The sequence below is a fragment of the Homo sapiens genome, chromosome 11 (assembly GCF_000001405.40).
Source record: "Homo sapiens chromosome 11, GRCh38.p14 Primary Assembly".
Lineage (NCBI taxonomy): Eukaryota > Metazoa > Chordata > Mammalia > Primates > Hominidae > Homo > Homo sapiens.
Genome location: NC_000011.10, coordinates 89,219,743 through 89,235,798, shown reverse-complemented (window position 1 = coordinate 89,235,798; position 16,056 = coordinate 89,219,743). Strand labels below are relative to the sequence as shown.

Here is a 16,056-nt window from a genome sequence, read left to right as displayed (position 1 = left end):
TATATCATTATTTACTATAATCATCATGCTGTGCAGAAGACCAGTAGAACTTACTTCTCATGTCTAACTAAAACTTTGTACCCTTCAACTAACATTTTCATTGACCCTATTCATCCCCTTCCACTCCTGCACATCACCTTGTGATACTACGATTCTATTTCCTACTCCTACGAGTTCAAAGTTTTTTAGATTCTGCATCTAAAGAGATTATGTGGTTACTTGTCTTTCTGTGCATGGCTTATTTCACTTAATGTAATGTCCTCCAGGTTTGTCTATATTATGATAGATGACAGAATTTCTTTTTAAATGGTAAATAGTATTTCATTGTGTACATATACTGTATTTTCTTTACCCATTTGCCCAATTATGGACACTTAGTTTGATTGTATATCTTGCCTATTGTGAATTATGTTACAACAAACATGGAAGTACAAATAACTCTTTGACATACTGATTTCACTTCCTTTTGATATATAGTCAGAAGTGGAATGAGTGGATCATATGATGATTCTATCTTTAGTTTACTGAGGAAGCTCCATGCTATTTTCCATGGACTAATTTACATTCCCACCCAAAAATGTGCATGTGTTCCGTGTTCTCCACACCCTCTCCAACATTTGTCTTTTATCTTTTTGATAAGAGGTATTTGAACAAGTCAGAGGTGATATCCCATTGTGGTTTCAGTTAATATTTCACAGGTTATTAGTGATATTGAGCATTTTTTCATCTGCTTATAAGCTATTTATGTTTGGAAATATAAGTGTTATCATTTTATTGTGGTTTGCTTTATTGTGCTTCACAGATACTGCATTTTTTTTTTTTTTACAAATTGAAGGTTTCTGGCAACCTTGAGATGGAATCTACTCCTGGTGTTTGGCAAGTGTGTTACTCCCATTTTTCCAACATGTGTTCACTTTATGTCTGTCACATTTTGGTAATTCTTGCAATATTACAAAGTTTTAAATTATTATTGTATATGTTATGCTGATCTGTGACCAGAAATCTTTGACGTGACCATGGTAATTGTTTTGGGACACCACAAACAGTGCCAATGTTAAAAAGGTGACTTTAATTAATAAATGCATGTGTTCTAACTGCCCCACTGACCAGCCACTCCCCTGAATCTCTCCCTCTCCTTGGGCCTCCCTATTCCCCAAGACACAAAAATATTGAGATTGGGCCAATTAATAACCCTAAAATGGCCTCTAAGTGTTCAAATGAAAGAAAGAGTTGCATGTCTCTCACTTTAAATAAAAAACTAGGGATGATTGAGCTTAGTGAGGAAGGCATGTTGAAAGCTCACGTAGGCTGAAAGCTAGGCCTCTTGTGCAAAAGTTAGTCAAGTTGCAATTGCAAAAGAAAAGTTCTTGAAGGAAATGCAAAGTGCTACTCCAGTAAACACACACAATAAGAAAGAAAAACAGTCTTACTGCTGATATGAAGAAAATTTTAGTGGTCTGGATAGAAAATCAAACCAGCAACAACATTTCCTTAAACTAAAGCCTAATTGAGAGCAAGGCTCTGACTCTCTTAATCCTATGGAGGGTCAAAGAGGTGAGGAAGCTGCAGAAACAATGTTTGAGGTGGCAAAGCTTGGTTTACAAGATTTAAGGAAAGAGAAGTCTTCATAACATAAAACTGCAAAGTGAAGCAACAAGTGCAATGGAAAGCTGCAGCAAGTTATCCAGAAGATTTAGATATTAGATGAAGTTGGCTATACTAAACAATAGATTTTCAGTGTAGATAAAACAGCCTTCTATTAGAAGAATATGCCATCTAGAACTTTCACAGCTACTAAGGAGAAATTAATGCTCAAAGGATAATAAAGGATTAAGCTTCAAAGGATAGTCTGATACTCTTGCTAGGGGCTAATGCAGCTGGTAACTTTAAGTAGAAGCCAGTGCTCATTTACTGGTCTGAAACTCCCATTATGAAATACTCTAAATCTACTCTGCCTTTGTTGTTTAAATGAAACAACAAAGCCTGCATGATAGCATATCCGTTTACAGCATGGTTTACTGAATACTTTAAGCCCATTGCTGAGACCAACTCCCTGGAAAAACAATTCCATTCAAAATATTACTGCTCATTTATAATATACCTGGTCACCCAAAATCTCTGAGGAAGATATACTAGGAGATGAATACTGTTTTCATGCCTGCTAACACGTATCTATGTTGCAGCCCATGGATCAGAGAGTAATCTGGACTTTCAAATCTTATTTAAGAAGTATATTTTGTAAGGCTATATATTCCATAGATAGTGATTCCTCTGATGGATCTGGGCATAATAAATTGAAAACCTTTTGGAAAGGAGTCGCCATTCTAGATGCCATTAAGAACATTTCTGATTCATGGAAGGAGAACAAAATATTAACGTTAATAGGAGTATGGAAGAAGTTGATTCCAATCCTAATAGATGACTTTGAGGGGATCAGGGTATCAGTGGTGGAGATAACTGCAGATATCATGGAAATAGCAAGAGAACTAGAATTACAAGTGCAGCCTAAAGGTATGAGTGAATTGTGGCAATCTCATGATAAAACTTGAACACATGAGGATTTGATTTTTATGGTTAAAAAAAGAAAGTAGTTTCTTGAGATGGAATCTACTCCTGGTGAAGATACTGTGAATGTTTTGATATTGTAACAAAGTATTTAGTATATCAGATAAACCTAGTTGATAAAGCAGCAGCAGGCTTTCAGAAGATTGAGTCCAATTTTGTAAGAAGTTTTACTATAGGTAAAATGCTATCATACAGCATAGTATGCTACAGAGAAATCTTTTGTGAAAGAAAGTATCAACTGATGCAACAAATTTCCTTTTTGTCTTATTTTAAAAAATTGCTCCAGCCACCCCAGCTTTCAGCAGCCATCACCCTCATCATTCAGCAGCCATCAAAATCAAGGCAAGACCCTCCCCCAGCAAAACTTTGACTTGATGAAGGCTCAGACGATTGTTAGCATTTTCTAGCAGTAAAGTATTTTTAAATTAAGGTATATAAATTGCTTTTTAGGCATAATGAGATTGTACACTTAATAATCTACATTAAAGTATAAACATAATTTTAATTTTAATTTTTTTTTTCAACTTTTATTTTAGAATCGGGGGACATGTGTAGGTTAGCTACAAAGGTATATTGCATGATGCTGAAGTTTGGGTATGATTGAACCCATCATCGAGGTTATGAACATAGTATACCTTATACATTAGGTAGTTTTTCAGCTGTTATGCCCCTCCTTCTCTCTTCACTCTAGTAGTTCCCAATATCTATGGCTCCCATCTTTATGTTCATATGTAGCCAATGTTTACCTCCCACTTATAAGAGAAAACATGCAGTGCTTGGTTTTCTGTTCCTGTGTTAATTTACTTCAGATTATGGCCTACAGCTACATCCACGATGCTGCGAAGGACATCATTTTGTTCTTTCTTATAGTATTCCATGGTGTAAATGTACCACATTTTCTTTGTCCAATACACCATTGATGAGCACCTGGGTTGATTCCATAAACGTAACTTTTAGATGCACTGGGAAACCCAAAACTTTGTGTCTCTATTGAGATATTCACTTTATTGTAGTGGCCTGGAACTAAGCCCACAGTATTTTGATGTGTGCCTGTATACATACATTGTGAATGACTAATTCAAACTAATTAACATTGCATTACTTCACATACTTACTTTTTACTTTTCGTGTGCTAAGAACAGTTAAAATCTACTTTCTTAGCAATTTTCAAGAATACAATATATTGTCATTAACTTTAGTCATCACGCTGTACAACAGATCTCTTAATTTACTTTTTTTTTTTTTTTTTGAGATGGAATCTCACTCTGTTGCCCAGGCTGGAGTGCAGGGGCACAATCTCAGCTCACTGCAACCTTGGTCTCCCAGGTTCAAGAGATTCTGTTACCTCAGCCTCCTGAGCAGCTGTGATCACAAGCGCACACCACCATGCCTGGCGAAATTTTTGTATTTTTAGTAGAAATGGGGTTTTACTGTGTTGCCTAGCATGGCCTCGAACTCCTGAGCTCAGGCAATCCACCCATCCCAGCCTCCCAAAGTGCTATGAGTACAGGCATGATCCACTGCGCTCAGCCTACTTCTTATACTTAACTGAAATTTTGTATCATTTGTCCAACTTCCCTCCAACCCACCCCAGCTCCAGCCCCCAGTAACCATCCTCTACTCTCTAATTCTAGGAGTTTAAATTTTCTTTTGACTCCACAAATAAGTGAGACCATGCAGTTTCTGTCTTTGTGTGTCTGACTCATTTTATTTCACATACTAAACTCCAGGTTCATCCGTGTTGTTGCAAATGAGAGGGTTTTCCTTTTTTATGGCAGAATAGTGTTCCATTGTGTATATATACCACATTTTCTTAATCTATCCATCGTTATCAATATTTGGGTTGGTTTTGTATCTTGCCTTATATGAATAATGTTGCAATGAACTTGGAAGTTCAGATATATTTCCCTTTCGATACATGCCCAGGAGTGGAACTGCTGAATCATATGATAGTTTTATTTTTAATTTTTTAAGAAACTGCTATGTTTTCCCAAATGACTATATTAATTTACATTCCCATGAACAGTACAACAATTCCTTCCTTTTTTTTTTTTTTTTTTTTTGAGACGAAGTCTCACCCTGTCACTCAGGCTGGAGTGCAATGGCATGATCTTGGCTCACTGCAAACTCTACCTCCCAAGTTAAAACAATTCTCGTGCCTCAGCCTCCCGAGTAGCTGGGATTACATGCGTCTGCCACCACCCATGGCTAATTTTTCTATTTTTAGTAGAGAAGGGGTATCCCCATGTTGGCCAGGCTGGTGTCAAACTCCTGACCTCATGATCTGCCCGCCTTGGCTTCCTAAAGTCCCTCTTTTTTTTTTTTTTAACATAGTCTCTAATACTTCTTGTCCTTGTCTTTTTATTAATAGCTGTTCTAAAAGGTGTGAAGTAACATTAATATTATCTCATTGTGGTTTTGATTTGTGTTTCCTGATGATTAGTGATGTTGAGCATCTTTTCATGTACCTGTTGGACGTTTGCATATCTTCTTTTGAGAAATGTCTATTTACATCCTTTGCCCAATTTTTAAAATTAGTTTTTCTATTTTCTAACTATTGAATCGACTTTTTAATATAGTTTGAATATTAACCCCTTATCAGAGGTATAGTTTGCAAATATATTCTCCTATTGTGTAAGTTGTCTGTCTATCATGTTAATTGTTTTCTTGGTCGCTTGGAGATTTTTAGTTTGAAGTAATCCTATTTGTCTATTTTTGTGTTTGTTACCTTTGCTTTGGGGCTCCTCTCCAAAAAAATCATTGCCCAGACCAAAGTCTTGGAACTTTTACCATATGCTTTCTTCTAGCAGTTTCACAATTTCTAATCCCTATATTTAAGTCTTCAATTCATTTTGAATTGGTTTTGGATATGGTGTTAGATATGGGTCCAATTTCATTCTGCTGAATGTGGATATCCAATTGTCCCCAAACGACTAATTGCAGACACTGTCCTTTCCCCATTGTTTTTGGCATCTTTGTCAAAAGTTAATTGAATGTAAATTATTGGATTGACTTATGGGCTCTCAATTCTGTTTCAATGAACAATAAATCTTCTTTTATGCCATTACCATGCCATTATAATTACTATAGTTTTGTAGTATATTTTGAAATCAGGAAATATGATGCTTTGTTCTTTTTGCTCAAAATTGTTTTGGCTATTCAGGTTCTTTTGTAGTTCCGTATGAATTTGAAGACTGTTTTTCTATTTTTGTGAAGAATGTCTTGGTATTTTGATAGGATTACATTGAATATGTAGATTTCTTTGGGTAGTATAGTAATTTTAACGACATTAATTTTTCTAATCTATGAATACAGGATATCTTTTTATTTATTTTTGTGTTCTACAGTTACTTTTATCAATATTGTATAGTTTCAGTGTACACATCTTTCATTTTCTTGGATAAACTTACTCCTAAGTATTTTATTTTTTGATGCTGTCGTACATGGGGTTGTTTTCTTAGTTTCTTTTTGAGATAGTTCATTGTTAGTGTACAGAAACACTACTAATTTTTTGTATGTTGCATTTGTATCTTGCAAGTTTACTTAATTTATCAGTTTTAACAGTTTTCCAGTGAATTCTCAGGCTTTTCTGTGTATAAGGGCAGATCATCAGTAAACAGAAACAATATCCTCTTCCTTTCATATTTTGATAGTTTTTCTTTTTCTTTTTTTTTGCCTAATTGCTAATTGTGTAGACCTTTTAATACTATATTGAATGGAGGTGGCAAGAGTGGTCATACTTAAATCTTTAGAGTTCACTGGGTAGTTCTAGATATTAAAAATGGCAAAAAATTTACACCAAAAAGTGATATAAAAATGATTCTTTAAAAAGCGTTCAATTTATCTTTTCTGATAACATTTTATTCCAGCACTATGCTTTTCTCTCTTATGTATGGGTATAGGTGGTTGTGATGTTGGTATTGACACCAACACTTTGGTGTTCATACATGTTCTTATACACTGATTTCTGAATAAAACTTAACACAGACTGTTACTTAATTCTCATTATATGAGAGTTGCCATGAAGCCAATAAAAATCTGCCTAATGATTTTCCTGGATAATGGTCACTTTCTTATTTGATTTTATGTCCATGTTCCTGTGGACATGAATGAAGAGAAGATTTTGGTAAATTAAGTAAAATCTTTAATTCTCAGTTTCAGTTTCCTTATCTTTAAAACACGAAAAATAACTCCTCTTATTTTTACCCAAGAGGATGATAGTATTATCTTAATGGCAGGTATAAATCTGTGCCCTTTATTCATTAACTGTGGTGAGAAAATTACTGTAGAGGGGACAAAGAACACTCCATAGCATTTGTCAGTCATGATTTGATGCTTTATTTTCTCCTTTCTTCTTGAAAATTTCAAGAGTAGACAGCTGACCTTCCTCTGAATACTTTCTTTTCTGCTATCATCACCTACAATTAAGTCTAAAACCTAATATATCTAAGACATTACAAATGTAATGGAAGAAGGCTAATAAGGGAAATAAAAGCTCCAAGAGAATTAAATCACATTAAATAGGACAGTTGGGCCATAGTGCACTCTGTCTGGAGAATTAATCATATACTATTCAGGCCAGTGGAAGAGATCAGTTTGTACTTCCTTATATGAAAGTGTGTTAGGTTCAAAAAGAGAAGAAATAACAATACAATTTCCAGAAGGAAAGATGTATTGATGACAGATGTAGTAGGTTAGTGCCAGGCCCACATGGCCTTAAATTCCTATAGCAGTTCTGTGTGTCCATCCTCCTGCTTTTTCATTCTTTGCTCTTAACAACTTTCTCCTGAAGCCTTTAGAAGGCTGCCCTTGGGTACTGGGGCCACAAAGCCTATCTGGACTCAAGCTCCTGGGAGTTTTACATCCCCTACCTCAGGGCATCCTGTAGCCAATGGCTATTTAGCATGGAAGTACAAAGACTCATCTGTCTTTTTCTTAAGGTAGGACAAACTAGGGTATACTTTACCTTCTACCAGGATCTAGTGGAGTCTTGGATTTCAACTGACATTGTACACTTATTTTACTTTTCTTTCTTTTGTATCCTGCCTAATCCACCTTCTTTTAATTTATCTTTATAAACACTTTCTTTATTATACATTTGCATGCAAATTCTTAGCCTAAGGTCTGTTTTGGTGACAACCTGATCACAGACAATAGACTACCATAACTTCTTAGCTTTTATTTAATAACTTAAATCACATTTGATAGGCACCCTCTATTTAAATCCAATGAGCACGTTATTTATAAAGAAATATTAACCAACCTGTCAACAAATGCATGGTGAAGAAGGAAGATAGGATCGTTGGCAGATCCCTGTACCTGGGACATTGTTCCATTCATATAGATGTGCAAGGCATTGTGCATGCTGCTTTGAGAGGCATCCGCTATCCCAGTAAGTGGACTAGCAAATCCTGTTCATTAAAAAAAAATGAAAAAAATATGTTTACTTTAATGACTGAAAACCTATGTGATTATCCCATTTGATTTATAACTATAACTTGAAGACTGTTTCAAAATATAAAATCAAAAATAAAATTCATTCCGTATTGAGACTCTTTACATTCTGGATACCCAGTGTGTATTCAATAAATATTTGTGGAATTAAATGGCCCAAATTTGGGTACAATGGAGAGCTTAACCAGGTAAAAGAGGTTGAGCCAATTTGTGTTCCCTCCTGTTCATTCTGCCTATAATTTCTGTTTCAATATGGACAAGTCATAGGAACATTTTATAATAACCAGCAGTCACTTTCACTTCAGTCTGTAACAACACTCATAGCAGATCTTTTCAGCCTGTTATGTGTCCCCTTGCTTTCCAGTTCTGGAGAACACTTTAAGTTTGGTTTCTGGTTCCAGAGAAAGCGTAAAATTTGTGACTCTTCACATTTCAATTCCTCTTTCACAGGAACATCTTTCATATCAGTTCATAATGTGTCTGATTTTACAAAACATTCATTTCAAAAATATTCAGAACTCCAATAAATATTTCCATTTATTGCATCAGCAACAGTAATAATGGGAAAAATTTTAATAAGAGCAATTATTTTCTAAATGTTGAGTATGCTAAATGTTTATTGTGACATATGTTCTTCTATCTTTACAGTAACTCTGTTGGTTAGAAATTATTATCCCTATTCAAAGAAAACTGAGGTTCAGAGAAGTTCTGAGTTTACCAAGCTACCCAGGTAGAGTTGGGATTTTAATCCGTATCAATTAGACGCTAAGATATGAGCTCTTAGAATTTTGTGTTCTCTCCCATGTGCCCATTAAGAAGAGGAAGAGGAAGATAACTTTTTAGTGCCCACTCAGGCAAAACTGAGAGTTAGGACCAGAAAAAGAAGTTTGGATAACAAAATTGAATTGTAAGCAGGAACCAAGTTGGGGGAACACGACGAAGGGCATATTATTAAATTTCAGAATTAAGAAATATCAAGCAAGCAGAAATTGTGAATAAGATCATAATGTAAACCAGAGTTACAACAGAAACAGTGAAAAAAGACAGGATTTAGGCAGGGAAGTTCTAGCTTTATTTCATACAAGTAGAACTATTTTATTGGCAATATCTTCCTTATTAAAGGTGCAGTTCTTAATTTTTGCATCACATGCCTTGTGCTCTCCCACTATTGTGACTGACAGTGTTTCTGCCCCTTCGGGTAGTGATGTTTTTTCCTCCTTTTACCTCCTTTTGAACTTATTTTATTCATTCTGGGAGACCATACCAATCCCTGATCCCTCTGGGAGATTAGCCTAAGAACATGCACATCCCTCTCCTTTACACAGTTTTGTCTATGACAACTTCTGTGAATATACATACATGACACTTAATCTGTGTAGAAATTTTTCTAGATCTTGACATAATTTTATGTGACATTTAGAAGGATCTGACCAATTAAGTACCTACATTATTATAGAAATGGAAAGAAAGGGCTTAGAGGGGACAAAGAACTTGTCTAAGGTAAAATAACAAATTAGACATTAAGGTTAGAGCAGATGCCTGTTTTAGTGTAGAACTTATGCTCCTAAATACAATGGTTTACTTCCTTTGCTATGTAGCAATAAATCATGTCACTGAGGACAATGTTCTTCATAGAAGTTGTTTTCAAGATTTTATCTCTGAGTAGCACCAAATGAAAAATTTAAAACTCTCACACTTTTTAAAGTGTATACTCTCACACTTTTTAAAGTAGGTCCCAAACTGATTTTTTTAATTTAAAAGAATTTTTAAAGTTTTATATTTTTCATTGGTATGTAACAATTGTACATATCTTTGGGGTACATGTGATATTTTGATGCCTATAATGTACAAGGTGTAATGATCAAATCAGAGTAATTGGAATATCAATCACCTCGATCATTTATCTTTTCTTTGTGTTGGGAATCTTACAAATCTTCTATTCTAGCTATTTAAAAATATACAATAGAATAAATTGTTGTTAACTATAATTTTCCTACTGTACTATCAAATTGTTTTAATCATAATCATAAATAGTTTCAGAGGATATAATAAAAGGATATTGCAAATAGTGTCAATTTAAAAATGAACATATAATATTACTTTCAAAAAATGTATCCACCATAATTATTTGATTCCATCATCCATATCAAAAACAACTTAAACTCTTCTTTGATAGTCTGTAACTTTCTGGAGTTACCTTTTTATACTTGAACTTGTATTTGTATACTATTTTTCTACACAATTATATCTAAATGTTATATATGTTATGCTTAAAATATTTGAAAAATATTAGTGAGGATTAAGGAGATGTTAGTCTAAGGATACAAATTTTTTGTTAGATAGGAGGAATAAGTTCAGGAGATCTATGTCTAAGGATACAAATTTTTTGTTAGATAGGAGGAATAAGTTCAGGAGATCTATGATACAACATGGTGATTATAGTTAATAATAATGTATGGTATACTTGAAAATTGCTAAGAGAGTAGATTTTAAATGTTCTTACTACTCAAATAAGTATGTGAGGTAACAGATATTTTAAGTAGCTTGATTTAGCCATTTCCCAATGTATACATACATCAAAGCATCATGTGATGCACCATAAATATATACAATTTTTATTTATAAATTTTAAAAAGGGAAAAGAATAAGTAGCCTACCAAAATTCTCTGTAACAAAAATAGGTATATCAATTATATTCTAAATTTTAAAAAAATAAATAACTGCCAAGAAGCTTTGTTCCCATAAATAACTAGATAAGGGTAAAGAAATTTTTATTTAAATTTTACTTATCTTTTTGAACTCATTTGAGCTAAATATGCTAATAATGATACAATCCAGCAAAAAAAAAAATAGTTTTTACAATTTGATCCATCAACTGACAACTCAAGCAAGAATTATTTGATAAAAGCAATTTCACAAATGATGAATTTATTTATAAACTACCCAACTTGTAAGAAGTTTGTTGCCTAGTAATTAAAGTTATACATGTTGGCAACACTAGCACCAATGTTTCGGATTCCCCACTTGTTAAACACTCTGGAAGTTTTTCCCATTCTGGGAGCAGACTGTATTGAGAATGAATTCAGGATAGGTGGAAGATAGGCTCTTCTGAAACATCAGAGAAGGGAGATTTTGAAAGGAGAGTTGGTGAAGGAGAATCTTCAGGAGTCTTCTCAATCAGATTCATTTGGAAAAGTATGCTTGGAAGGATGAGCTAAAAATAAATTTTCTTAAAACTCTCTGCACCATGTACCCCTTAGAAAGTTTTTGTGAACCTGCAGTAGTGTATCTATGCCACTTTGAAGATACTGCTGTAAAAAAGATTTTTGAACTGAGTAGAACTTGGCTTAAATTCTGTGTTACATACTGGAAGTATAATCCTTGTCAAGTTATTTATATTTTTTGGGCTTCAATGATAAGAGAGGAAGTAAATAATGTCCACTTATCAGTTGGTGGCAAGGATTAATTTTGATAGCAGGTATAAAAGCACCTAGTACAGATCTGGTGCAAAGTGAATACTTCCTGAGTAGTAACTAGTATTTCTATAATCATGTTGCATGTGGTAAATAGTTGCTGCTAACCAAGAATATGGTGCACTCTCAATGCAAAAGTATCTCTTTTGCTGCAACCATTAGGTACCACCCTAGCATCACGCATCTCCCTCCTTCCTAAACTTCATTGTTCTGTAGAAACCTGCCTGCTGCCTGCTCTCATCCTATATCAGGTGTTCTTAGGTGTCTTAGGAAGTAGAATGGACCGACATTTTAAGAGCGTTTTCAGCCAGGCTGGTATTTCATTACTCACTACTATACTGACCTGACAGATGTTGCATCTAGAAAAGCCCCTAATATTATTAAGAAAAAAAAAAAAACAGCTAAAGAAAAAGCACAAGGAATTTGTCGGAATACATTGTGATATGTGCTTAGAAATAATGTAAAGGCCCAGGTTGAACCAAGATTCTTTGTAATACATACCAGATTAATATAAACAGTTGTAAACAGTTTTATTATAGTAACAATTTTAAATAATGTATATATTGTCTCTTCAAATAGACTAGAGACACCTCAGAATTAGAGATCAAATTGTTTGTTTTGATTTCCGATAATCAAAATCAGAGACTTGAACACCTTCATATTTAAAAGATAAACAAATATAAAATACTCTCAATCTTTCACTTATATATCCTACAGAGATTGGGAATAAGAGAGACAATTTCCAAAAAACCTACGAGGGAATTTTAGAGAGCTCTACTCTGGCACCTGTCAAGTGACAAAACAGAGAAAATGTTATGAATGACAAATAATATAAAAATGTGAACAAACTATTTTCTATTTTATCTTTTCATAGAGTTTATTTTCTTGGTTGGTGAAGTCAACTTGAAAAAAAATAGAAATAATTACTCCAACATCGGTAGCTTCTCTGGCTGAGATTTGACTCTGTTTTGGAAGAATAAGTCAAAGAGGAAATTCTAAGTACCCCAAAATAGTGCCCATATATATCCAGCTTTTCAAATATCTTTCATGTAAATAATCTCATTTGAATCTCAGGGCTACTTGTGATATGAATATTATCATTACCTCAGTTTTACAAATGTGAAAACTACAGCTTATAGAAGTTAAATAACACATACATTAAAGCTAGTAGTTGGGGAATCAATGAACTGAATAATTGATTCCAATTCCTGTGCTCCTTTTTGCATATACAGTTGGGTAGTGTCTGTACTGACTTACCCTTGGAAATTTCTTTGCACTATACCCCTGCAATGAATTTGTGGACTTGTCATTTTTAGCTACCAAATTACAGCAAGGTGCAGAATGTGTTATTATCTCAACCTTGTCCACGAATTCCTCATGGAAAGAAATTTTACTGAGCCAGTAGAGACATGTTAGTCACAGATGCCAAAATAGCTCAATGTTCTTTGTGAAAGGCAGTAAGAGTTCCCCCAAATTATGTTATGCCTTAACATTTGCAAGCTACATTCCTATAGGAAATTAATAAACCCAGTTTCAGGTCAATGGCAACAATAGAATTTTTTTTTTTTAAGATGGAGTCTCACTCTGTTGCCCAGGCTGGAGTGCAGTGGTGTGATCTCAGCTTTCTGCAACCTCCACCTCCTGGGTTCAAGTGATTCTCCTGCCTCAGACTCCAGAGTAGCTGGGATTACAGGCACAAGCCAGCATGCCTGGCTAATTTTTGTATTTTTCGTAGAGGTGGGGATTCCCCATGTTGGCCACACTAATCTCAAACTACTGACCTCAGGTGATCCACCTGCCCTGGCCTCCCAAAGTGCTGGGATTACAGGCGTGAGACACCGTGCCCGGCACCCAACAATAGAAAATTGCAACTAGTTGATCTCTTTTGCTCTTTTCTTCCCTAATACTACTCTGAAAAGTTTATGTTTGTTTCTTTTTAATATTGATGCTTAGCTCTCATACCTAGAGATTCAGATATAACTGGTTTAGAATGGGACTCAGGCACTTGGAGTTTGAAAACCACTCCGGGTCGTTCTAACATGTGACCAGGGTTGCACTGCACTGAATTAAGCTGGACTGATCTCCATTCTCTAAACCTGAGCTCATGCTTCAAAAACTACCTGTGAATATATGATTTCCTTGATATGAAATTTTCACCTTCTATATTCTGACAGTCCAAAAATCCTTCTGCCTTTAAAATCTTACACTATAAACTTATGCCTTGACATATTTTCTTCCTGGTAACTGTTCCATGTTCCTTTGAAAATTATGATTTAAGAAATTGAGCAACTACTATGTAACAGTCACTGGCTAGGCATTGGCACATAAATCATCTCATATAATTCCGTATCTTTCCTTTGAGGAAGATGAGTTACAGATGTTGCACTTTAATCATACCTGCTAAGAGTCTGAAATATGAAAAGGTGTGTAGTTAAATCTTCAGAAGAATAGAGCACATTTAATTTATTGCATTTCATTTAAGTGCATTTTTAACCTATTTTAACATTTCATAGTGTTTCAGAGATGGAATTGGAGAAGAGGAAATAAAAAGAAGATAGAAAATGTACATTAGTGCATCTGAAGATTTTTTAAAAAGTGACTTAAGACCCACTGACTTATATTCCTCCAATTTACTCTCCTAATGTGCAACTTGATTGAGGAATTAAGTACACAGCTTCAAAAGGTTATGCACAATGGTTTTAGGAGGCTGTATTTGATGGCTGAATACTTTGAAAAGGCTTGTAATTTAAACTACTTACAGAAGAAATACAGAATTGCAGATCAAAAAACATTTTTGGATCTAAGCAAGTCCCTAGATACACGAGAAGCATTAACTTTCAACCAACTTCCAGTTTGCTCAAAGTGCTAGCTCTACAGCCATAAATGTAATTAATTAGCATTTATGTTTATTAGAAAATACTTTTAATTTGACTCAGGAGATTTCTTTGATTATGAGGAATAGAGTAACGAAGCAAATGAAGTGGTGCATGAGTGTTTCATACTATGTAATTATTACAGCAGAGCCCAGGGCACAAACACTCCACATATTTTGTGTTTTTCAAAAATGTGGTCCCAGAGTTAGCAGCATCACCTGTAAACTTGTTACAAACACAAATCCTCTAACCCTAACAGTGAGTCACTGAACAGAAAGTCAGGTGGGGACCCATCGTGTGTGTTAACCAGTTCTACAGGTGATTCTAATGCAAATAAGGTTTGAAAACAGCTGCTCTCATTCTTTTCATTGTTTGCACAAAGACAATGACAAATCACAATGAATTATAAGTCATTTCCATAAATTCAAGAAAGGTTTTTGTGTTATTAAAGTGTTTATTATTTTAAGTGGGCTTCTCTACTTGTTAACCTCGGTGTTTGTGTTTTCTCTTCTCTACTACTTAATTGCCTCTCTACAACAAAGATTACTGCTATTACTACACCTTCTATTCCTATGTGGTAGGTGCTAGGCTGCATTTCCTTAAGTTTTTATAGAACTTCATCTTCATAGCAACTCTGTTTTTGTTTTGTTTTGTTTTGTTTTGAGTTTTGTTTTTTTGAGACGGAGTTTCGCTCTTGTTGCCCAGGCGCTGGAGTGCAGTGGTGTGATCTCCGCTCACTGCAACCTCCGCCTCCCAGGTTCAAGCGATTTTTCTGCCTCAGCGTTCTGAGTAGCTGGGATTACAGGCACCCGCCACGCCCGGCTATCTTCGTAGTAACTCTGTAAAGAAGATATTATTTAACCAACTTTCAGGTGTTGAAACTAAGTCTCAAAGAGGATAGGTGGTTTATCTAAGGTCATTCAGTAATGATATAGTTTGGATATGTGTCCTAGCCCAAATGTCATGTTGAAATGTAATCCCCACTTTTGGAGGTGGGACCTGGTGGAAGGTGATTTGATCATGGGGCAAATTTCTCATGAATAGTTTAGTACCATCCGTTTGGTGCTGTTCTCACAATAGTGAGTGAGTTCTCGCAAGATCTGATGATTTAAAAGTGTGTGGCACCTGCTACCCTTCACGCTGGCTCCTGCTCTGGCGATATAATGTGCGTGCTCTCTGCCTTCTACCATAATTGTAAGTTTCAGCCTCCCCAGAAGCCAGGCAGATGTCAGCACTGTGCTTCCTGTACGGCCTACAGAACTGTGAGTAAATAAAACCATTTTTTTTTTAATTACCTAGTCTGAGATTTCTTTAAAGCAATGTGAGAACGGCCTACCACAAGCAGATAAGTGGCAGGGTCAGAATTTTGGCCAATTATCTGCCAAACTTCCAAGCTTTGCTCTTAATTATTCTGTTACATTCTTTCAGTTGATATAAAGCCATTAGTTGCAATAAAATTTAAAATAGACAATAGATGTTCTGTTGCAGTTATGATAGTTCCTTTATTTCCTTTAATTCTTGTCATATCCATTGGAATAAAAAGCTGCAACCCAGCTTTTTCACAGAGTACTCTCTTGGGGTAGAAAAGGCCCTATCATGCTGGTTCTTACTCTCTGGATGAAAACTTCATCAGCTTCCTATCACAGGACTCCAGGGCACATAGTCAACTGGATCAGAGAAGGCAAGAATTT

The 16,056-nt window shown here is 35.0% G+C and overlaps 1 protein-coding gene across 2 annotated transcripts in view; it reads right to left on the bottom strand.

The window, feature by feature from the left end:
• TYR (tyrosinase) overlaps positions 1-16,056 on the bottom strand; it is a 117,885-nt gene that overhangs the window by 59,961 nt on the left and 41,868 nt on the right. For both annotated transcript variants that reach the window (XM_011542970.3, NM_000372.5), the window contains exon 3: positions 7,829-7,976. In XM_011542970.3, the coding sequence (XP_011541272.1) occupies positions 7,829-7,976 (148 nt within the window). The remainder of the gene's footprint in view (positions 1-7,828; positions 7,977-16,056) is intronic.